The sequence below is a fragment of the Homo sapiens genome, chromosome 5 (assembly GCF_000001405.40).
Source record: "Homo sapiens chromosome 5, GRCh38.p14 Primary Assembly".
Classification (NCBI taxonomy): Eukaryota; Metazoa; Chordata; class Mammalia; order Primates; family Hominidae; genus Homo; species Homo sapiens.
Genome location: NC_000005.10, coordinates 126228623 through 126253613, shown reverse-complemented (window position 1 = coordinate 126253613; position 24991 = coordinate 126228623). Strand labels below are relative to the sequence as shown.

The window sequence follows — 24991 nt, the reverse complement described above, 5'->3', positions numbered from 1 at the left end:
GGCAGCTATGGAAATTAAATTTTGGCAGAATGTGGCCATTAATGATTAACAAAAGAACTCTATGCTTGAGTTCCTCTTAACAGCTAAGCTCCTACTGGGTTTCTGGGGATGCAAAAGTCATGACAAATCAAATCACATCTAATTCAAGCAATATTTATTGCAAACTGGTCATACATACAATTGATGCTAAATCCCATGCCGTTTCTCTATTTCAGCAAGGAGATGTTTAAGCATGGCAGATAGTGCATTTATGGAATTCAATCAGTTTTTGTTAGTGAAACCAGTCTAGTTCGTTGATGATGATGTCAGAATGACTGACTAAACAGCCCTTTTAAAATCAAAATTATTTTGTGCTAATATTTTCTCTTTTTGCCTTCATTTATGATAAGCATGTAGTAATTTGAAAGTGAAATTTAAGACACTGGGAATTATATTTTCTGTCTTAATTGAATCGGCCAACTCACTGTGTTTTGATTAAAGACAGGTACTTGGTTTTTAAAATATATAATTTTTGACCATGCCGTTGCTTACCCTGTTTACTTTTTTTAAAAGTAAAGACCTATCAATTTTTAAAAAGTTATTTTAAAATAGTAAAAATATTCTGAATAATATAAAGCACAAGAGTTTGAAGAAAAACACAAATTGAAAAGATAAAGTTCAGAGAACTAAATGACTGGTCAAGCTCACACATCCGTCAATGGCAGGCCTCACCTTGCATTCTAGGTCTGTTCATACCCGGGCTAATAATGCCCCTTCTATGGCATCACACAGTTTTTTTCTATAAATGTCTTATGAAATGAATGTATAGCCATAAAAACTGTATATGCACATTGCAGATAAAACACATTGTTCTTTTTGTACTATTTAAAATGAATAGGCTTGCTATCATCAACATTAATTAGAAATACTTTTCTTATTCTTCATACAAATTAGAAATAAGCTCGAGATCATTTGGGCAAGTTGGACTTCTTGAGTGGCCCAGTATACTTGAACTAACCCTATTTTTCCTTTGTGATGTACTTGGGGCAGATCTGCATGTTTGGAGGTTCAGCCCTTTAGTTGTGAGGGAGTGGAGACCTGCAGTCTTCTGGGTTTCCCCTTTTCCCATCAACTTTTACTTCCTTGCTCATGCCCCACCTCCCACCTCTACTTCCATGCAGATTGACACCCTTTCCACTGTTCCACGTAGCTTGTTTTATGAACTGGGAAGGATGAGCCTAGGTAAATTTTGAGATGAGATAATATTATGCATAAACTGTAATAAAGTAAAATGATCTCTTATTAAAATCCTTCAATTTTAGCATTTTATGGACCCCACTGATGATTTCAATTTCACTGTCCTTGTGTACCTTGTGTAGAAAATGAGAAGTTCACGTCTTTGTGACTTCTAATGCGAGATGATGTCTTTCAGAAAAAAAATCAAATAGCTTTTTTCGAGAGTGGGTGTATAAGAATTTTGCAATGCTTTTGGAGGTTTGAAAAGCTTAGCTATGTAGTATTTTATTTGTCATGTTATAAAAAAGTAATGTTGACTGCATTTAAGAGTCTTAAGTACTTTTCATTTTTATGTCTGGCGTATTTCATGATACATACGTTTGTATATATTTATTTTTTTTTAGGGGAAAAATCGTGGCATTGTGTCACCTTATGTATTTCTTTAGAATCAAATTTTTTCATACGAAACACTGTAATCACCAAAAAGCAGAAGACATAACTTTAAAAAAAATGCTATCTTATAGACTCTGAATAAAATATAAAGAAGTATACTAGTTGAGAATCTTCCAATATTACTTTAAGTATCTTTTAAGGTCAAGTTTTAAGGTTAGCCTTTTAACTTCAGCATTGCTTTGCTTGTGATTCTCTCTCATACAGATGATAAAGTGCTTAATTTGTTGATGTTTTATTTGCCTAGAGATCATATTTTCCCCTGAGATTTGTCCTGGGATGTTGCATTAGTATTGTCAAAAACTGCATGTGAATGTCACTGTGGTGTCACAGAAACTCATATTCAAACTTGGCATTTTATTAGTTCTCATCACCAAGCAAGTTACCTGATTTGAGTCTTAATTTTCTTTGGTGACCATGGAGTTTGTGAGGATTAAAGCATCAGCACAGATGGAGGCATAGAGAAAATCTCAATACGTGCTGGTTGTCTGTTCCTTCTTTTTATAAGCAAAACAAATGGAAGAATAGAGCCTAGTATGGGATGAATTGTGTCCCCGGCCACACCACAAAATATGACCTTGCTCCCAGTAGCTCAGAATATGACTTTTTTGAAAGTAGGTTTGTTGCAGGTGCAATTAGTTAAGGTAAGGTTACACTGGAGTAGGGTGGGCCCTGTTAAAGAGTTAGGCACATTGAAATTTTAAAGAGTTTATTTGAGCAGACGGTGATTCATGAATTGTGCAGTGACAAACCACAAGTTTTTTGGCTTACACCAAAGGGATGTGATGAGGAAACTTTTATAAGATGCAGGTGAAAGAAAAAGATTTGATTGGTTAAATTGGAGCAGTAGCCTTAAAGTCCCTAGTAGAGGTTAGCTGGCAGTTTCTGATTGGTTAAGGTAAGTTTCATTTTGCGGTTTACATTATGTTTCTATTTGCTTAGGTAGGAACCCAAGGTGCTAAGGCTGTCTCAGCCTAATGGCCTCCCAATTAATTTTAATAGCCAGTAATACAATATGACTGTTATCCTTAGAAGAATAAAATTCAGACACAGAGACACAGGAAGGTGACCATGTGAAGACAGAGGCAGAGATTAGTTTTTCTTTCACGAAACAAAGGAATGCCTGAGGCTACCATAATCTGTAAGAGCCAAAAAGTATCCTTTCCAAGATGTCTCAGAGGAAGCATGGCCCTGCTGACACCTTGATTTCAGACTTCTGGCCTCCATAACTCTGAGAACCAAATTTCTGGTTTGTTTGTTTGTTTATTTATTTATTTTGAGACGGAGTGTCTCTCTGTCGCCCAGGCTGGAGTGCAGTGGTGCGTGGTCTCAGCTCACTGCAAGCTCCGCCTCCCAGGTTCACGCCATTCTCCTGCCTCAGACTCCCGAGTAGCTGGGACTACAGGCGCCCGCCACCACGCCCGACTAATTTTTTGTATCTTTTAGTAGAGACGGGGTTTCACCGCGTTAGTCAGGATGGTGTCTATCTCCTGACCTCGTGATCCACCCGCCTCGGCCTCCCAAAGTGCTGGGATTACAGGCGTGAGCCACTGCGTCCAGTCCAAATTTCCGTTTTAAGCCATCCACTTTGAGGTACTTTGTTACAGCAGCCCTGGGAAATTAATGCACAGACCAAGTAGACCTGGAGGTGTCAAGTTGTCTTGGGATCACCTCCTGGCTTGTCCATCATCATCAAGTACTTTGGGATTCTAGGACTTCGATGCTGCATTGTGTGTGCAGCTTGGGAAGAGTGTGAGCACACCCCGATACTCTGCATTTAGGATTTTAAATTTTCTGGGTTCTGATTCTATTTGAAAATATTATAGATGCTTTTGATACCTTCCTAAAGGAAATACACACATAGGTGTACAACGTTTTGCACCAAATTTTGTGGCCTTCACCATCCCTCTAGGGAATTCATAATACAAGGTTAAGAATTCCTGCTCTAGTAGAATTTCACTCTTGGACTGCTGCTTGTAAAAACAAAGAATAAACGTAGCTAAACAGACATTGAACAAGTGGTGTAATCAAATTCACATTTAACAAGATAATGGTTATTAGAAGTTCATGGATAAAGAGATCACCTTGGGAATTCTATGTATAAACACAGAAGTTTTGACTGTGTGCTTAATTTACATATTTGCCTCATAGCATTGTGGAAAATTAGTAGAAACTAATAATTAGAGCCAGCATTTCTTATGTTCTGGGTACGGTGGTAGGTGCTTTATGCTCATTATCTCCAAATGCTGGCCTGTGTTAGGGGTGGGGGTGGCAGGAGGGCCATTTAGCCTTATTCTTACTCTCATTCACGAAGGACCTCAGATTTAGACTTTTGATGTTATCTTCAAATTTGGTTATACTCACAAGCACAGGAGCACATCAAGAGAATCCAGGAACTTACTCATCATGTAATTTTAGATTTTTGGACCCTTAATAGACTATGTAGCCTGTAGTGCATTTTGAATGACTATTTTAAAATTCTGAACTTTCCATAAGAGTAGCACAATCATATACATACATATTTTTTCAGATAATAGTTCATGAAATATAAATTTTTAAAATAGCTCACCATTTTTGAAACTTGTTTTCACACTTTTCTCTTTTCTAACATTCTTAGAATCTTAGAAACTAGCAGTGGCCTTGGGCCTTTCTTGACCTTTGCAAGGTTCTCCACACCACAGCCCTTCAAGATTTCCCATTACATAGACAAGGGAGAGGGATTTCTCCCCAGGTCACCCTGGCCTATCTGCTTCAGTAGACAATGTGGGGCCTGGGGAGATGGATTTTTAATAGCTTCTCAGTGCTTGTGATGTACACTAAAGTCTGAGAACCATCAGGCTAAGGAGAAGAAAGCCAGGACTTAAACACTCCATAGGGAAGGTTTTTGGATCTCCTAGGCTGTTAAACTTCTAGAGTTCACTGTGCCTCTTGAGAGAGGGTGATGTATACGACCATGAGTCCCTACAAAGATTTCACATTTAGAGAATGTCAGAGCAGTGAAAGACAGTTGACCTCAGTGAGCACCTACAATACTTGACTGAATTTGTGGAGCAGAGAAGTAATGAGTAACTCTACAATGGAAAATAAAACTCATGTCTTAATTCTGTATCACAGTGACTAACCCACTTACTACTTGGCTCATGGTCCATTTAACAGCTATGAAGAGGGGAGACCACTGCAACCATTCTTTCATTGCTCTGAGATTTAAAAAAATATATATACAAATGATTAAAAGAATAGACAATAACTGAATTCAGACAGCAACAATGACTCACATAATGGGGAAATTGAAAATAGAAAGAGAACCAAAGGTCTGTATCAAGCAACCCAGGCCATCTTAGTAAGGCAGGTAACCTTATAGTGCTATGCTCCTGGCCATTGCCATTATTCCAGTTTTTTCTTTCTTTCTTTTTTTTTTTTTTAAATTTAAGTACTAGGGCACATGTGCACAACATGCAGGTTTGATACGTAGGTATACATGTGCCATGTTGGTTTGCTGCACCCATCAACTCATCATTTACATTAGGTGTTTCTCCTAATGTTATCCCTCCCCCAGCCCCCCATCCCCCAACAGGCTCCAGTGTGTGATGTTCCCTGCCCTGTGTCCAAGTGATCTCATTGTTCAGTTCCCACCTATGACTGAGAACTTGCGGTGTTTGGGGTTGAAATCCTAGTCTCTGATAAAACAGACTTTAAACCAACAAAGATCAAAAGAGACAAAGAAGGCCATTCAATAATGGTAAAGGGGTCAATTCAGCAACAAGAGCTAACTATCCTAAATATATATGCACCCAATACAGGAGCACCCAGATTCATAAAGCAAGTCCTTAGAGACCTACAAAGTGACTTAGACTCCCACACAATAATAATGGGAGATTTTAACACCCCACTGTCAATATTAGACAGATCAACAAGACAGAAGGTTAATGAGGATATCCAGGACCTGAACTCAGCTCTGCACCAAGCAGACCTAATAGACATCTACAGAACTCTCCACCCCAAATCAACAAAATATACATTCTTCTCAGCACATCACACTTATTCTAAAATTGGCCACATAATTGGAAGTAAAGCACTCCTCAGCAAATGTAAAATAATAGAAATTACAACAAACCGTCTCTCAGACCACAGTGCAATCAAATTAGAACTCAGGATTAAGAAACTCACTCAAAACCGCACAACCACATGGAGACTAAACAACCTGTTCCTGAATGACTACTGGGTAAATAACGAAATGAAGGCAGAAATAAAGATGTTCTTTGAAACCAATGAGAACAAAGACACAACGTACCAGAATCTGAGACACATTTAAAGCAGTGTCTAGGGAAATGTATAGCACTAAATGCCCACAAGAGAAAGCAGGAAAGATCTAAAATCAACACCCTAACATCACAATTGAAAGAACTAGAGAAGCAAGAGCTAATTCAAAAGCTAGCAGAAGGCAAGAAATAACTAAGATCAGAGCAGAACTGAAAGAGATAGAGACACAAAAAAACTACAAAAAATCAATGAATCCAGGAGCTGGTGTTTTGAAAAGATCAACAAAATTGATAGACCACTAGCAAGACTAATAAGGAAGAAAAGAGAGAAGAATCAAATAGACGCAATAAACAATGATAAAGGGGATATCACCACCGATCCCACAGAAATACAAACTACCATCAGAGAATATTATAAACACCTCTATGCAAATAAACTAGAAAATCTAGAAGAAATGGATAAATTCCTGGACACATACAGCCTCCCAAGACTAAACCAGGAAGAAGTTGAATCTCTGAATAGACCAATAACAGGCTCTGAAATTGAGGCAATAATTAATAGCCTACCAATCAAAAAAGTCCAAAACCAGATGGATTCACCACCGAATTCTACCAGAGGTACCAAGAGGAGGTGGTACCATTCCTTCTGAAACTATTCCAATCAATAGAAAAAGAGGGAACCGTCCCTAACTCATTTTATGAGGCCAGCATCATCCTGATACCAAAGCCTGGCAGAGACACAACAAAAAAGAGGATTTTAGATCAATATCCCTGACGAACATCGATGCAAAAATCCTCAATAAAATACTGGTAAACTGAATCCAGCAGCGCATCAAAAAGCTTATCCACCACAATCAAGTGGGCTTCATCCCTGGGATGCAAGGCTGGTTCAACATATGCAAATCAATAAACATAATCCATCACATAAACAGAACCAACGACAAAAACCACGTGATTATCTCAATAGATGCAGAAAAGGCCTTCAACAAAATTCAACAACCTTCATGCTAAAAACTCTCAATAAACTAGGTATTGATGGAATGTATCTCAAAATAATAAGAGCTATTTATGACAAACCCACAGCCAATATCATACTGAATGGGCAAAAACTGGAAGCATTCCCTTTGAAAACTGGCACAAGGCAAGGATGCCCTCTCTCACCACTCCTATTCAACATGGTGTTGGAAATCCAGTATTGTTATCCTTAAACGGCAGCTTTGAAATCTTGACTATCCACCTAGAGAACATGCAGATTGAAGAAGATTCTTAGGGCAATGTCCCTGTCCCTGCCTTAAAGGCAATAATGTATTACTGGGCACGGTGGCTCACGCCTGTAATCCCAGCACTTTGGGAGGCCAAGGTGGGCAGATCACTTGAGGTCAGGAGTTTGAGACCAGCCTGGCCAACTTGGTGAAACCCCATCTCTACTAAAAATACAAAAATTAGCTGGGTGTGGTGGCAGGCGCCTGTAATCCCAGCTACTCGGGAGGGTGAGGCAGGAGAATTGCTTGAACCCGGGAGGCAGAGGTTGCAGTGAGTCCAGATGGTGCCATTGCACTCCAGCCTGGGGGGATGAGAGTGAGACTTCCTCTTAAAAAAAAAAAAGACAATAATGTATTATAATTGATATGGTTTGGCCATGTCCCCACCCAAATCTGATCTTGAATTATAGTCCTCATAATCCCCACATGTGATGGAAGGGACCAGGTGGAGATAATTGGATCACGGGGGTGGTTTCCCCCATCCTGTTCTCGTGATGGTGAGTTTTCACAAGATCTGATGGTTTTATAAGGGGCTTCCCCCTTTGCTAGGCACTCATTCTCTCTCCCTCTGCCTTGTGAAGAGGTGCCTTCTGCCATGATTGTAAGCTTCCTGAGGCCTCCCCAGCCATGCTAAACTGAGTCAACTAAACCTCTTTTCTTTATAAATTACTCAGTCTTGGGTAGTTCTTTATAGCAGGGTGAGAATGTACTAATACGTTAAGAATTTAAAGGCAACAGTCAGTACTACAAGAAACTAAGTCACAACAAAAGCTAATGTTTATTAAGTCTGACAGCCTAAATTACATATGAAATAGTCTAATAATCAGCAATTAAAAATCTTAAATTTTCTTTAAGCAATTATTTTTTCAGTTTTTAGGAATGTTCTAGTTGCATTAGGCATCTTACATGTGTGTACTACATACTCTTCCTAGCAGGAGAAGACTTCACAAAGCAGTCATAATACAGAGCATGTTTTCTTTGAAAGTGTTTACTTGGGAACTGTACTAATCTATTAACTTGAACTGTTCTTTGTTCTTTCTAGAGGGAACACTTCTTATTTTTCTTTTTTACTCTTTCATCACTATTTGACTCTTTGTATTTTGATTTCCCATTTGAAATATCTTACCGAAAATTCTGGTGTGTGGGAGTTAACAAAAAATTATTTACATAATAATAAGGCTAATCTTTTTTTTGAAATAAGATTCCCTTTTCTACTCCACAGAAAGTCTTGCAGCTGTATTTTTAGTCTTTGTTTTACAAATGTCTATTTGTCTTTTTCTCATTTCTTATCTTCATTTAAAGAATACTGGTTCTATTTCCTTTTAATATAGACAACATTTAAAAAATACATGTTCACTACAGAAAAATATATTGACAATTTATATAAGCCAAAAGGAAGATAAAATATAGAGTTTATGCCACCCAGTCACAATTGCTCTTACATTTTTAGCACATTCTTACAGAATATTATGTATATATACCTCATATAAAATACATGGTTGATTACATTATTTTACTTTTATTTTTATACAACTTTCTTGGTTAAGAAATATACCTCCAATATCAGTTCAAATGTCAGAAACACATTTCATTGTATGGATATGCTATAATTTACTCAATCATTTCCTTACTGTTGGATATCTACTATCTTTCCAGTCTTTATTTTAAACAATGTTAAAACATTCTATAGTTAAATCTTGCCATAATTCAATCTCATCTTTTGGATCCTCCATAAATTTTGCAACTTCTATAGCATTAATTTTTTATTTGTTGATGTTTTAAAAAGGTTTTTAAATTTTAAGATTCAACAAATATTTATTTATACTATATGTAATTTTTTATTTGATGATGTTTTTAAAAGGTTTTTAAATTTTAAGATTCAACAAATATTTATTTATACTATATGTAAGTGTTTCAGCTTTCCTTGTAAACGGGAGACTCAAGGCATAATTCTTTGTAATTAAACCCCATGATCTTGCTCCTGGGTATCATGTAACTGATCAGTAATAGTTTATATAACTTTAAAAAGACATTCAAACACATACACCCCTTATTTCTTGCAATCAACAGTTCTAAATAATGACCCTTGATGATGCGAAAGGTTTAGCCCAATGTGCCACACACTTTCACCTTTTTATCTGTTGAAAATGAGAAAAGATGGGCTTAGTGAGTTGTGGGCTCTCCTGCTCTAGCTTGGGAGACCTTAGCTCACACTGGCAATCTTTCTTTCATGATAGACAGTCAAGGCTCAAGCGACTCTCAAGAGATAAAGCGATATTGTGATAAAGAAGCTTCTCCTACGGGAACATTAGGCTTTGGTCAATCCTTTATTAATTAGAAAATATGTGCCTGATTTTTAAAAGTGCATTTAACATTCAATCTATACAGTAACAAACTTTAAAGACTTTAAATCCTTCTAGCCTTTTTGCACTACTAATTATTACCTCACCTCCAAAACATCATACACTTTTAGAAGTAATTGAAATAAATACCCTTGAAAACTTATGCCAACTGACAATTTAAATCATTTCTCCAAAATAATTGATTTACAATTAAAAGCCCTATTAAAATTTCTTAGAGCCAATCACTTGGAGACTCATTTTGCTAAAAGCATAATGGTCTTTTAAAAGGGATTTCTAGTATAATTTGGGATTTCAATACATTGTGCTTATGTTTTCCAAGCAGGTAAGACCTTGTGATTTAGAGGAATATATCTTTGGAGCACAAATAATTAGGATACCACCAAACACAAAGGCTTATGAGAGGTCAAAGTATGAGAGATCACATTCATTCAGGAAATCAGCAAAACTTTCAGAGGAGGAAGCATTTGCAATGTACTTGGAAACATGGATAAAACTTAAGTACTCCAGGGCAAAAGGGAGGAAGTGTAGGTATGGGTTTGTGGGTTTGTGTGTGAAATAGAGAACTGCCATCATTGTTTATGAAATAACGAATCATTAAGTTTTCCCAGGGCCCGGTGTCATGTCCTTGAGATTCCTGCACCTTTGTATTTGGTTTTTAGGGCAATGGGAAGGGAGGAAAAGTTGTATTAAAAAAATTTTTTTTTAAACATTGAAGTGATGTGGTTGCTCTATATTTGAAGAAGGTAGTGTGTGTATAGAACAAACTAGTGAGAAGGCAAGGAGAAATGGTTCAGAGGTCTTAAGGAGAACTCAAAGTGAAATTTGGCTATTGGGATCTCCCCAGGAAGAATCTATGGCATTGATGAAATGAATATCTAGGAGTAACGTGTTTCAGACTTGGGGTCTGGGGGAATGAAAGTATCATGAACAGAGATAGTGGAGGCCAGAAGGAAGAGCTGGAGAGATGGAAGTTGAGCATCTTGAGGAAATGTGAAGAGAACAGGGGGAGGGAAAGGGAAAAAGTCAAAGTGACGAGTAGGAAGAAGACAAGGGACCATGAGCAGGCCATCAACCTTTATTGAAGGGGCTTTAAAGGGGATGAATCTTGAGGCAGCCACTGAATTCGTCCCTTAGGAGATTATTAGGAAAACTAGAGAGACTGGTTTCAGTAGAATCTTAGGTGTGGAAGTTTGAAAAGAGTTCAGAAAGGAGAGGATGTAGATAGTAGGATATAGATCTTTGGAGAAGTGTCCTTGATGACGTGTAGGGTTTCTAAAATAGTTCTATTGATATGGTAGAGAATAACAATAAGGAGGAAATTTGAAGGGCAAGCAGGGCTCACTTGTCTATTCAGTAAATATTTTGTCAGCCCACTTTTGCTATGCATGGTACCAGGCGATGGCATAAAATAACAAAAACAGAAATAATGTCTCATGAAGCCTGGAATGGGGAAGACAGCTATTTATCAAATGATCCCAGTAGTTCAGATATAAACTCTGGACAAGTGCTGTGAAGGAGAAGTACATGGGGCAGAGAGAGAATGAGAAAGAACTGATCTATTCTGAAAGGTGGTGTCAAGGATGCACTGGTGAGGAAGCCAGCAGAGAGCTGAAGTAGGCTACAAAGGAAAAGTAGCGGGGGCCACGCAAAGAGGGTTGGAGGGAACTGCCTCACAATATGGAAGACCCCTCTGAATTAAAGGGTGGGCAGGAGGTGAGACTGGCTAAGAACATGGCCCATTGCAGGAGCCAGAAAAAGCCTAGAGTTAGAGGGAAGTAGTCCTTTGTATTCTAGGGTAGATTAAAAAGGCAGGTTATGGGTGTTCATGGCAGGGAGGAGGCAGTGCACAGAGAAGAAAAATTAGATTTTAGGAGCCATCTTGTTTTATGCCAGATTAATAAATACAAGCCACTGTTTATTAACTCCAAAGACTGTTTCGTTTTATTGAAGAGCTTGAAATATGTTTCCTGCACACTAATTTTCAGACCTACAGTTTTTAGTAGGTGTGACTTGCTTTAGGGAGCAGATGTATTTCTGGAGAATTGTAGCTAATTCACATCTTTGTAAATTGACTCATTTTAAGCACAGCAGGGAGTCTGCTTTTTAAAGGAAACCTATGGTGCATCCTTTTATAAAGTGTAGGATTCTTTGGAAAACAAATGTTTTGTAAATCTCTTTCAGCAGAAGGGAACGAGGGTGCAACAAGGCTGAGAAACATGTATATTCATATATACAGAACTTAGGATTCAATAACTGGCAAAAAAGGCCTTTTGAAGACAAGAGCAGCTTCCCTTCAAATTCTTTGGTCTGTAAATATTGTAGTAGGGAAGCCTAATCTGGGCCTCATATTTATTTTTAGAAAGCTCTTAAATGTAAACAGTCTCTGGTTTCATTTTAATTGGAGATCACAATTTTTTGAGAATTCTAAGGCAATAGTTTCAGAAGAATGGTGCAGGTGTCTGTAATCTTAGAGATACGCACTTCTGTTTCTTCATGTTCTTCTATGAGTAGTTGCTGAGAAAAAATGATGTATTTGTGGAAAGAGGTAGCATCCATCTCCTTGATTACTTATTCTCAGGGAGCTTATGTAATATTGCTTCTGCAACGCAATTCAGATGTTGCGGAATTGTGTTGCTGGGGCTTCCAGGGTGACACTTTGCAGACATTATCCTGAAGAATGATTGTGATGTGTTTTTCTTCTCTAGTGTTGGCTTCTAGGACTACTTGATGTGGAATTTATTTAGAGAAGAGGAACTTTTTCCAATTGCTCATCTTTTTCTGAGAATCAGAGATTTCTAAGAGTTTCTATGCCTAGTCTAGGATTTGGCATGACAGATATTTGTTTGATGCAGAATAAAACACAAAGTACATGCAACCTTTATTCAGCCACATTGTAAGTGTATTCTATGTGCTTTCAGCTGCAGTGAATTATATTAATAACCTGTTATTGTAAAAATGTCAATAGTTTTTTCTGTCTCTTGGAATGATTATCTGTTAAAAGTATAGGGTTCATTTTAACACTTCACACAGAAGAAAATGTAGCTTTTAGTAAAATGTTTTCAGGCATTTTTTTTTGAGATTAGTCAAAAAATAGCTATAGAGATGACACAGAGAAAATGTTTAAATAGTACATAGGATCAAAAATAGTCCCCTTTTCCATTTATACATAGGACACATAGGACTTTATTATCTTTCTTTACTGTTGCACTCTCACATCGATTTCCTTTTCTGTAAGCAGGTTTGTCATTTATAAAGAACAAATCCACATGTGTGGAAGAAGAAAAAAACTCCTGAATTTTCCCACTCCATGTCCATCTTAGCATATGTTCTTCTTGGGCACAACATAGTAACACACTGGGTTAGAGACTCTGGGATATCTTAATTGATTTTTGATCTAAGTATGAATGCTACAAAGAATTAATGTGAAAAATTGCACTTATTTCTCAGTTTAGCTGAGATACCTTTATGAGCCCGTACTTGATGATACCAGTGTTGTGGGCAAGATATGTAGTACTGGCCAGTCATTCAGGGTTCTAGGCTTAAGTCATCAGAACAATCTTGGATTGGTTTTTATGGATAATTGAGCATTGTATAGTTATTTATAATATTTTAAAAATCACACCTGCCATCAAGGTGTCAGGATCTGGCTGATTGCAACAACTCTCTGAGTCTACTTTCTAGTTCAGGCCCTCCCCTTTTCAAACTTTCCTGTGTATTGGTGCCAGATTCCTGTTTCTAAATAGCATTTTGTTGGTCCTTAAGAACTCACAATTGTTTTTCATTACCTGTGATGGTGAAGAATACCTTTCAGTCTAGCTTTCAGAGCTTCCATGGTCATATTTTGCCCTAATAGTCCAACATGATCTCCATAAAAGAGTTTCTTCAAAAATGAACTCTTTTAACCAGTTGGGAAGTCTCACTGGTCTTCCCTCTGCCCATATATCATGCACACATTTTTAAGTTCCTGTCTTTGCTGATTCTGTCCTTGTACTTTTTCCCTAATACTGATGCCTCCTCTGTCCATCCAACCTCTTCCTGGCACTGAAGACACACCTCTCATTGGGTGTGCGTGGAGGACTTTCCCAAGGATGAGGTCAAGGTTGTAGGCTTTGTATGATCTTATATTAAATAGCTATTGGATTGTATCAGAGCTACATTTATATTTAAAGACTAGGGCAATTATCATTAAACACAAGTAGAAAAATGAATGAAAGAGAAATCAAGGATAAAAGCTTAAACAAGACCGGAGAAAGACAAATGGGAAATTTTTGGAATGGTTGCTCAGGAAAAATGGACCCACCTCTTCCTGAACATCTGGGCAGATCAAGGTCTATGGTTCCTTGTGACAAACGCTTGCTCACCTGAGGGTTGCAGCAGACAGCTAAAGACATTCATGAGAATTTATATTGGCCTTGAGCCATCACCTTCCCATGATTCTTCCTTCCATCTTCCAACATCAGGGGCCCAGTGCTATCTGCTGCAATTAGACACAACTGAGATGTAAAGATATATCTAGAGCTGCTGGCTCCATTATATAACAGAGGAAGTAGAGGGAAGTGGTATGTTCGTGGGTCATTTTCTCTAAGCTCTGATTCCAGCTTTGTTGATCTAGAAACTTCATCCAACAAGGCATCCAGAAACAGTTGGTCTTCTAGATATTGACTCACAGTATCTAAGCTCTCAAGAGGCAGGAGTGTAAATCAGAATGTTAGCTTATTAGTTGATAGTAGTATTTCTATCCAGGGACCAGAATGTATCCAGGGACCACTTGGGTACCCTAGAAACCACGAAATCTGAAGGAAGGACCAGGAGGTGTCCTGGTGGGCATGCACTCAGGACAAAGGGCACAAGGCCATCTGGAGAAGTGCTTCCCTCAGCCCAGGGAAAATTCTGGTGAGTTAGTCCTATTCCACAGAAGAGAAATTAATAATGTTAATGTGAAGACAGGAACTGAAACATGCTCCCTCCCAGACAAGAATTAGGGAGGAGTAATTTGGCCTGTAGAATGTTTGATGACACTTAGGGAAGGGTTCAAGAGGGAAAACACAATAAGGCCATAAAGTATTACTTCTCAAAGAACTCAGTATAACTTATGTTAATGAGAATAACATAAATTTCCAATAGAAACAGGTGGGTTTATATTTAAAAATTTTTGTGTGTGTGGAATTGAAATATTTTTGATTTTAGAGCCTCTGGGAGTAGCAACTGCAGCTTCTCTCCTCAGTGGATACTGAGCTAGATATTCCTTTCTGCAGAGTTTCACTAACTCAACAAAGCAACAAAAGTCACTGACACTCAAAGCTTAAAGCAGTAAAATTGCAAGACCGAAGAAGGGAGAGAACACTTACCCAAAGAGGAGGGGCTGATCTTGAGAAAAAGGAGAGTGGGGTAGATTCTCTCAGTGATAGCGTTGGAAGGTGGGAGTATGAAAGGTTGTGGCAAGTCAAGAAAGAGGAGAGGTAGGGAACAAGGGGTGAAAGTAGAGTGCCTTTGGGAGATTTGGAGAACATCCAGATGTGGGATGGATAACCCTAGCCCTGGACGCCTTGCCCTGGTTGGTACTGAGAAGAATAAAGTAGCTGACTAGAGGCAAATACTGAGTTTCCCCCTACCTTTACCTTAGCCATCCTGCCGCTGAACTCTCTATGACTTGGAATAGGCACTGAAAGGTTTAAGAACCATTGAAGCTTTCATCCAAGTCCAGATTATGTTTGTTGCAGGGAAAATCTGATCGGACTGTAACTAAACAGAAGAAATCTTTCAGCCTTAAATGCCTTAAAAGCTTCAATTCAAACTCACTTAAAAGGGGAATTTGTTGATTTATATAATAAAAATATCCATTGTCTTCAAGTGTGACTTTATGGGGTTCAAATCTCTTGCCAGGACCCAAATGTCTCCTGCCCTCCGTTGGCTTTCTGTGTTTTCTGAACAAGTCTGAACAAGTGGCCCCCTCAGTTCCAGGTTCACATTTGCCCTGTTTCAAGTCCAGTGGAAAAAACTTACCACTTCCTGATAGTTGCACTGCAGGTTCTGGGTTCCTGTTTGTGTGGCCACGCCTGGTCCATTCTTACTGCTCTACATGGGACGCAGCGAGCTTTGGCTCTGGGATCAGACTTGGCTTCATTGCTAATAAATGGACTGGACATGGAAAAGGGTGGTTTCCCAAAAGTCAGTTACTTGAAGAATGAGGAGTGGAATCAGGGTCGGAGCAAACATCAATAGCCATTGCATTCCCCTCCAGAGACATGGATGGTTAGAAGCCTTACTATTATTGTGGATTACCTGATGGAAGACTCGTCTAACTGCAGAATAGATGGTAAACTGGAGAGTCAGTCAAGTCTAGCTCCCCAACTTGCCCCTTCTTACAGAATTGCTGGGAACAAACTCTGTGGAGCAGGAAAAAAACCAACAGCAAAGTATACAATAATGATATATGTCTTCACTGAGCAACTAGTTTGTGTCAGGTACTAAGCTAGCATTTTACGTTATTATTCAAATAACATATTTTAGAGACTGTTAAAATATTTCTAGAGATTAAAAAAACAGGATAAAAGAGGCTAAAAAGATCTAAGTTAATACAGCTGGGAAATGACTTTTTCTACAGAACACCATCACTACCTCTAATACTTATTTGTCCGGCGTCTGTGTCCTTCACTAGAATGTAAGCTCCTTGACAGCTATTGGGAGGCAGATTTAAGTTCAATATATAAATAACCTTCAAATAATTAAAACCTCATAAATGCAACAGGCTGCTTTTTTTTAAATCATCACTAGAGGCAGTTGAGCATGTTATGAAGGAGATTCAACATCTGGTGAGAGATTGAACTAAATGGTCACATATTCAAAATCTGTAGGTTTACAGCTCTTCACTGTGCCAGGCCATTCCTGGATTGTTGACTTTGGAAAGGACTGGAATGTGTTATATGATGCATAAATGCGACTTTAAGTTTTATATTAAAATGAAGAAGCTATGGTTAAGAATAAGTGTACGTGAAAGAAAGCATAAAAAGGCAAGAATGAGAGGGGGGGAAAGGAAAGGGGAGATGGAGTGTGTTGAGAGAGAGAGGCATTCTGTGTGCAAGAAGGATCAGCTCAATATTGAACTTTTGTTCTTCATAAAGGATGTGCATTCTTTTTTTTTTTTTTTTTTTGAGTTGGAATTTACCTCTTGTTGCCCAAGCTGGAGTGCAATGGCGCGATCTTTGCTCACTGCGACCTCCGCCTCCCGGGCTTAAGCGATTCTCCTGCCTCAGCCTCTTGAGTAGCTGGGCCACCACACTCAACTAATTTTTTGTATTTTTAGTAGAAACGGGGCTTCACCATGTTAGCCAAGCTGGTCTCGAACTCCTGACCTCAGGTGATCCGCCCGCCTTGGCCTCCCAAAATGCTGGGATTACAGGCATGAGCCACTGCGCCTGGCCAGGATATACATTCTTTACAGCCACTTTGGCACCATCATCACAGATATTGTAGGAAGATACAGTTCCCTCTAAAGATGGGAAACAGTCTGAATTCTATGCTTTTTCTCACACAATCAATAACACCTGGAGAGTGACGTGCATGGTATGAGTAGCATGGAGCCCGTATCTGCTGTGTAGGCTGATTCTTGCATGTATTGTATCTTATAATATTTAATAGTTAGTTTTGGAACACTCTATAATCATTACCTGATCTTCATGTGAGTGGCGCCATTCCCAATTTTAAGATGAAACAATGGAAGTGATTTAATACTCTGGGAGTAAGCTTCAGGGCTACAAACAGAAGCTTAACCACCTTGGCTATCAGTTTCATGCTTAAGTTCTTTGATGAGCACTTTTTTTATTTTTTTAATCAAAAAAGTGTTTGGGAAAAATCTGCCATCCGGGCTGGAGTATGGTTGTCTGATCATAACTCACTGAATCCCGAACTCTTGGGCCTTAACCTCCCTAGTAGCTAGTAACATGTGCCACCACTCCCACCTAATTTTTAAATTTTATTTATATTTTTGGTAGAGACAGGTTCTCACTATGTTGCTAGGGCTGGTCTCAAACTCCTGGCCTCAGGTGATCCTGTCGCATCGGCCTTCTAAAGTGTTGGGATTACAGGTGTGAGCCAATGCACTCAGCTGATGAGAACACCTTTTAACCAGAGATGGTTGAACTGGGGTTGGTCCACAGATGTGCTTTCTGCAGCCTGGGTCTGCCTGGCATTCTGTGGGAACTGCTGACATTGTCTTGGCAGCTGGAGTCCTCCCACGTATCTTTGAAGGTCATGAGGCTGCCATATCTCATTTGGTCCAAATGTTGATTGCTCGTTCAGAATGTTAATCCTGTGGTCTCCAATTCATAATTCTTTTTCTTGGAATTCTAGTCGCTAAGTGTGAGTATGTTTGTGTCTGTACGTTGGTGTGGGTGTGTGCATTATCGTACTATCCTTGCTTGACCTCTACTTGTGCTTCCTTGCTTACTACTTTCAAAGACTTTCTTTGTATTGTTCTGCTAGCAACCTTCTGAATACCAATACGAGAAAATTATTTTTTTTCTGGGGAAAAATATTGCTGTGTATCCTGACATTTTTGGCAAGTCGTTTTCTACTCACAATGGGAAGTTGTGATAAAGTGAATTATCTTTTGTGCAGAGTTGTTTTCCTTTGTGTTTGTCTGTGCCTACCATTCTCTGTTTTCTATTAAATTATTATTTTCTCCATGTTACTTTACAAGTTGTAATTGCTTTGTTATCAGAAAGAGAAAGGTAGGTTCATTTTATCCTTTTATCACTGGGCGTCTTGGTGAATGAATTGTAGCACTCCTCATTACCATAGCTTTGTTCTGCTCAGTTTTTAATGTTAATTGCCCTTGTCATTCCTTGTAATATAAGCTATAGAAATGTTCTTTCAAAGAAGAGAGATATTAACAAGTCAGAATATATTTTCGAAATGAATTGATAAGGAAATTTCATGTTTCATCTCAAAGCATTAATTAAATGACAAGGAGCTCATGAAGTGAAATAAACAAAGGATGGACAAGTGATGTTGACATAGCAAGTCCAAGAAAGAAGCACATGAGTTCGTGTTTAATTGAAAGAGAACATTGTAGGGACTGGTCACTCATTCTACTGCCCCCAAATTTATAATCCTTTCAAATGTTTTAATTCTTTTACACATGGGTACTGGTCTCCATCGTTCTCTTCTTTAAATGCCAACCTTCCTTCTGCTTTTGTTCCTCTTGATGAGAGAACGCATATTTGTGTGTTTACATTCAGAATTGTTACACTGAAAGGGGCCCGAATGTGTACAAGCCGAAAGCTCCACACTGTCCTCTTCTGCCAGTTAGCGGTATTGCCTGTCAAACTGATCTCAAATGAGGTGAAAAACTGTAGGAGTGAGTACTTAGTGAAGTAGAAAACAATTACATTCCTGTGTGATAGAGTTACTCTGGGGAATGGACCAAGAGATAGAGGGGCAGAGAGTGAATTTCTTGCCCAGGTTAACCATAGGGTGAGTTTCTTAAGGCAATTGTATTCTTTGGAAGCACAGTCCCATTTTATGCCTTTTTGTTTTACATTTTCTGTCTACTTAAACTCTGTTACTCTTACAGATTCTGAACTAGTCCAGCTCTACTTTGGAGAAGAGGTAGGGACCCTCATCATCTATTGCTTTTGCTATTTGAACAGAGAGAACAGTTTGTGCTCCCAGTTCGGTAGTTTTCAAAAAACATATTTTCCCCCAAAGCCAGGAGAAGCATCCTAAAATTTTCAAGAGCATAGCAACAAGCACACTTCTATTTTTCGGATCCGTACTTCACTCTCTTTAGTTGCAGATGAGATCTGGCAATCCTACTTCTGGCCTGAAGTACATTTGTGTTTTAAGTACATCTACAGTCTAAATCCTATCCAGGTTTGTTTGTTTGTTTTGCCAGGAGCAGTGGAAGTTGTTTTCTACTCATAAGGGGATCTTTTTGTGCAGAGTAGTTTTGCTTTGTCTATGCTCATCATTTTCTGTTTTCTATTAAATTATTTTCTCCATTATTACAAGTTGTGTTGTTTGTAATTGCTTTCTACTGGAAAACTGCTTTGTGGTTTTCTCCCAATGTGTGGGTAAATATATCATCTGCTTCTGAATTAGAAAGATATTTTTATGTTGACTTCTAAAGATTCTTTTCCCGAACCCCATGTGGTCCTCTTCACCTGAAAAGCAAAGACCCCTTCCGTTCAAAATTGTTATTTATGCTGGTTGGAGTATTAGTAAATAACATTTGCTCTTCCATTTCTAACACCCAGCATGGAGTCTAACACATCCTGGGGTTCCAATATTTGTTGAATAAATGCACGGAAGGTATGCCTTCTGTTCTCAAGGTATTTGGAGTCAGATGGAAGAACTTACAGTTTAGAGTTGATGATCCCAGAAATTTCTGTCCTCACCTTGACCTTTTCCCTGAAACTTGCTGCAAGCTTATTCACTGGATGTTCCAGGATTATTTAACTTTTTGATGACTCTGAGCAATTCTAGCTAACATCTGGAGACAGTTCACAGTAAGACACATGCGGACCAAGCCAATGCCCATGTTTCTTGTAACTCCACTATAATAAATTACTTCCTTGCAGTAACCAGAGGCAGACTTACACTCCAGTCTGTGATTGGCTACATGTTTCTGTTTCTGGTCTGAGAGATCCCTTCAGCCCTCTGCTTATGTACAAAGCAGATGCTCATGTACAAAGTGAAGATGATTGGCATGTCCAGAGTCCAGTAGTCGAACAAGGCTTCGCGTTGCATTCTCTCAGCTCTCCTTTCTCACGCATCCTCTCCACTTTTTTAAAAAGTCAAAAATAGCAGATGCTGGCAAGGTTGCAGAGAAAAGGGAACCCTTATACCCTGTGGGAGTGTAAAGTACTACTTCTCCCTCCTCCTACCCTCCCCTCTCCAGTAGACCCCACTGTCTGTTGTTTTCTTCTTCGTGTTCATAAGTTCTCATCAATTAGCTCCCACATATAAGTGAGAACATGCGTATTTGGTTTTTTGTTCCTGCATTCGTTTGCTAAGGATAATAGCCTCTAGCTCCATCCATGTTCCCAAAAAAGACATGACTTGTTCTTTGTGGCTCCTTTCTCACGCATCCACTCCTTAGGGGAAGGATGATCCAAAGTCATATTTATAGAGTTTCGCATCTCCAAAACCACCTCTTTTTTTCACCAAGGGAAGAAAATAGATATGTTCTAATTTCAAACACAGGTAATGTTTGAAATTAGAATTCAGATGTTCAGATTACTAAACTAGTGCTACTTCTATGATATTATAATACTTTTGAATATTTAGTGACTTTAAGAAATACTTGATTGACTTGGTGATACTGATTATGGTACTTAATTATGCCACTTGTGATCTAAATCAAGTTTCTCTCTTTTCCATGATGGCCAAAGCCTTCTAAGAACCTATCATTTTGACAATTCATCCTTGATAATTTCTTTCAGGCTTTTACAGCTTGGCTTTTGTATCCATTGCTTTTACTCAAACTGTAATTATCATTTAAACTGATAAACCCAGTGGTTTTACTCACTGGGCTTCCTGAATTTTTCTGCAGTATTGTCCCTTGGGTCTTTACATATTTCTTTTTTTTTTAACTTGTATTTTAGGCTCAAGGGTACATGTGCAGGTTTGTTATATAGGTAAATTTTATCTCATGGGGGGTTTGATGTACAAATTATTTCACCACCCAAGTAATAAACATAGTACCTGATAATAGTTTTTTGATCCTCTCCATCCTCCCACCTCTACCTCAAGTAGGCCCTGGTATCTGGTATCTGCTGTTCTTTTGTATCTATGTGTACTCAGTGTTTAGCTCTCACTTGTAAGCTAACATGTGTGGTATTTGGTTTTCTGTTCCTGTGTTAGTTTGCTCAGGATAATGACTTCCAGCTCCAACCATGTTGCTGCAAAGGACATGATTTTGTTCCATTTTATGGCTGTGTAGTATTCCATGGGGTATATGTACCACATTTACTTTATCCAGTCTACCATTGATGGGCATTTAGGTTGATTCCATGTCTTTGCTATTGTGACCAGTGCTGCAATAAACATATGCATATGTGTGTCTTTATGGTAGTACAACTTGGATTCCTTCGGGTGTAGACCCAATAATTGATTGCTGGGTTGAATGGTACCTCTCTTTTAAGTTCTTTGAGAAATCATCAAACTGCTTTCCCTAATGGCTAATTTACACTCCCACCAGCAGTGTATAAATGTTTTCTTTTCCCTGTAACCTTGCCAGCAACTGCTGTTTTTGACTTTTTAATAATAGTCCTTCTGACTGGTGTGATACGGTATCTCATTGTGGTTTTGGTTTATGTTTCTCTAATCAGTGATGTTGAGTTTTTTTTCATCTGCTTGTTGGTTGTATGTCTTCTTTTGAACAATGTCTGTTCATGTCCTTTGCCCAGTTTTTTTTTTTTTTTTAGGTTTTTTTTTTAACTTTTAGGTTTGGGGATACAGGTGAAGGTTTGTTACATAAGTAAACATGTGTCATGGGGGTTTGTTGTACATATTATTTCATAACCCAAGTATTAAGCCGAATACCCAATAGTTACCTTTTCTGTTCTTCTCCCTCCTCCTACCCCCCACCCCTCAAGTAGACCCCACTGTCTGTTGTTTTCTTCTTCGTGTTCGTAAGTTCTTATCATTTAGCTCCTACATATAAATGAGAACATGCGTATTTGGTTTTCTGTTCCTGCATTAGTTTGCTAAGGATAATAGCCTCCAGCTCTATCCATGTTCCTGCAAAAGGCATGACTTGTTCTTTGTGGCTGCATAGTATGCCATGGTGTATACGTACCACATTTTCTTTATCCAGTCTGTCACTGATGGGCATTTAGGTTGACTCTATGTCTTTGCTCTTGTGAATAGTGCTGCAAAGAACATTCACTAGCACGTGTCTTTATGGTAGAATGATTTATAGTCATCTGGGTATATACCCAGTAATGGGATTACTGGGTCAAATGGTAGTTCTGATTTTAGCTCTTTGAGGAATTAACATGTTGATTTCCACAATGGTTGAAGTAATTTACACTCCTACCAACAGTGTATAAGGGTTCCCTTTTCTCTGCGACCTTGCCAGCACCTGTTATTTTTTGACTTTTTAATATTAGCCATTCTGACTGGTGTAAGATGGTATCTCATTGTGGTTTTGGATTGCATTTCTCTAATGATCAGTGATACTGAGCTTTTTTCATATGCTTGTTGGCCACAAGTATGTTGTCTTTTGAGCAGTGTGTATTCATGTCCTTTACCCACTTTTCAATGGGATTATTTTTCTCTTGTAAATTTAAGTTCCTTATAGATGCTGAATATTAGATCTTTGTCAGGTGCATAATTAGCAAATATTTTCTCCCATCCTGTAGGTTGTCTATTTACCATCTTGATAGTTTCTTTTCCTGTGCAGAAGCTCTTAAGTTTAATTAGATCCCACTTGTCAATTTTTGCTTTTGTTGCAATTGCTTTTAGTGTCTTTGTCATGAAATCTGCCTGTTCCTGTGTCCAGGAGGGTATTGCCTAGGTTGTCTTTCAGGGTTTTTATAGTTTTGTGTTCTACATGTAAGTCTTTAATCCATCTTGAGTTGATTTTTTTAGAAGGCATAAGGAAGGGGTCCTGCTTCAATCTTCTGCATATGGCTAGCCAGTTCTCCCAGCACTATTTATTGAATAGGGATTATTTTCCCCACTGCTTATGTCAGCTTTGTCAAAGATCAGATGGTTGTAGATGTGTGGTCTTATTTCTGGGTTCTCTTTCTGTTCTATTGTTCTATGTGCCTTACCAGTACTATGCTGTTTTGGTTATTGTAGTCTTGTAGTATAATTTGAAGTCAGGTAATGTGATGCTGTGTCTGGAATTGGTGGGTTCTTGGTCTTGCTGACTTCAAGAATGAAGCCGCGGACCCTTGTGGTGAGTGTTACAGTCCTTAAAGGCGGCACATCTGGAGTTGTTCGTTCCTTCCGGTGGGTTTATGGTCTTGCTGGCCTCAGGAGTGAAGCTGCAGACCTTCACAGTGACTGTTACAGTTCATAAAGGTGGCGTGTCCAGAGTTGTTCGTTCCTCCCGTCCGGAGCTGTTCATCCCTCCCAGTGGGTTTGTAGTCTTGCTGGCTTCAGGAGTGAAGCTGCAGACCTTCGCGGTGAGTGTTACAGCTCAGAAAGGCAGAGTGGACCCAAAGAGTGAGCAGCAGCAAGATTTACTGCGAAGAGTGAAAGAACAAAGCTTCCACAGAGTGGAAGGGAACCCGAGTGGGTTGCCACTGCTGGCTCGGGTGGCCTGCTTTTATTCCCTTATCTGGTCCCACCCACATCCTGCTGATTGGTCCATTTTACAGAGAGCTGATTGGCCCATTTTACAGAGAGCTGATTGGTCCATTTTATAGACAACTGATTGGTCCATTTTGACAGAGTGCTGATTGGTGCATTTATGATCCTTTAGCTAGACACAGAGTGCTGATTTGTGCATTTATAATCCTTTAGCTAGACACAAAAGTTCTCTAAGTCCCCACCAGATTAGCTAGACATACAGCGCTGATTGGTGTGTTTACAAACCTTTAGCTAGACACAGAGTGCTGACTGGTACATTTACAATCCTTTAGCTAGACAGAAAAGTTCTCCAAGTCCCCACCCATCCCAGAAGCCCAGCCAGCTTCACCTCTAACTGGCACTCACCACAGGACTCTGCAGCTCCTAGCCCAGGCACTCTGGCAGCCCAGAAGGAGCTCGTCCCAGACAACCAAGAGGAAAAGAGGGGAAGCGAGAAAGAGACGGAGACCCTCCATCATGGCCAATGACCCTGCAAAGAGGGAACGGTGGTCCAGGCATGGGACCCAGACTCTGATCAATCCCAGCAGTCGTCGGCCAGACGCACCAAGTGTGGGGCCTGCCAAGCCTGCGCCCACCCGGAACCCACGCTGGCCTGTGAGCACTGCACACAGCCCCGGTTCCTGCCTGTGCCTGTTCCTCCACACCTCCCCGTGAGCAGTGGGAGCTGGCTCCAGCCTCAGCCAGCCCCAGAGAGGGTCCCTCATAGCACAGTGGCGGGCTGAAGGGCTCTTCAAGCGTGGCCAGAGTGGACACTGAGGCCAAGGAGGTGCTGAGAGCAAGTGAGGGCTGCTAGCACGTTGTTATCTCTCAATTCCCCCTTTAAACAGGACACCCCAACTGCTGTTGGGAATTTGGCTGATGACCGCTCTAGCTACTTCCTGCTGGATAGGGGTGAAGAAGCAGCCCTGCAGTTGTAGTATCCTCTAGAGGGGAAGTGGTTTGGTCCAGGGGTCCTCAGTAGAAGTCGTTAGTTGAGCTCATTTGGGGTTCCCTTTGTAAGACCATCTGTAGCTTGATGGCCTAGATTCTAGAGGAGACAAATTTGACAAGGTTAAAGATACAGGGCCCAAAGGCAAGTAACAGCAAGATGGCTGCCATGGGACCTAGAAAGGGGAGA

General features: G+C 39.4%; 1 long non-coding RNA gene across 1 annotated transcript in view, besides 2 other annotated features; it reads left to right on the top strand.

Moving 5' to 3' along the window:
- LOC124901056 (uncharacterized) overlaps positions 1–24991 on the top strand; it is an 891204-nt gene that overhangs the window by 116685 nt on the left and 749528 nt on the right. The gene's annotated exons all lie outside the window — the stretch shown is intronic.
- Positions 14853–16052: an enhancer, noted in NCBI's record as "BRD4-independent group 4 enhancer chr5:125573255-125574454 (GRCh37/hg19 assembly coordinates)". NCBI's record gives its function as "activates an origin of replication core promoter dependent on BRD2, P300/CBP, MED14 and CDK7 cofactors, and independent of BRD4, by STARR-seq in HCT116 cells {active_cell/tissue: HCT116}" and the evidence as "EXISTENCE:reporter gene assay evidence [ECO:0000049][PMID:35650434]".
- Positions 24406–24559: a silencer, noted in NCBI's record as "fragment chr5:125564748-125564901 (GRCh37/hg19 assembly coordinates)". NCBI's record gives its function as "represses an EF-1alpha promoter that drives an FKBP-Casp9 reporter gene in an ReSE screen in phorbol 12-myristate 13-acetate-treated (for megakaryocytic differentiation) K562 erythroleukemia cells {active_cell/tissue: K562(+PMA)}" and the evidence as "EXISTENCE:reporter gene assay evidence [ECO:0000049][PMID:32094911]".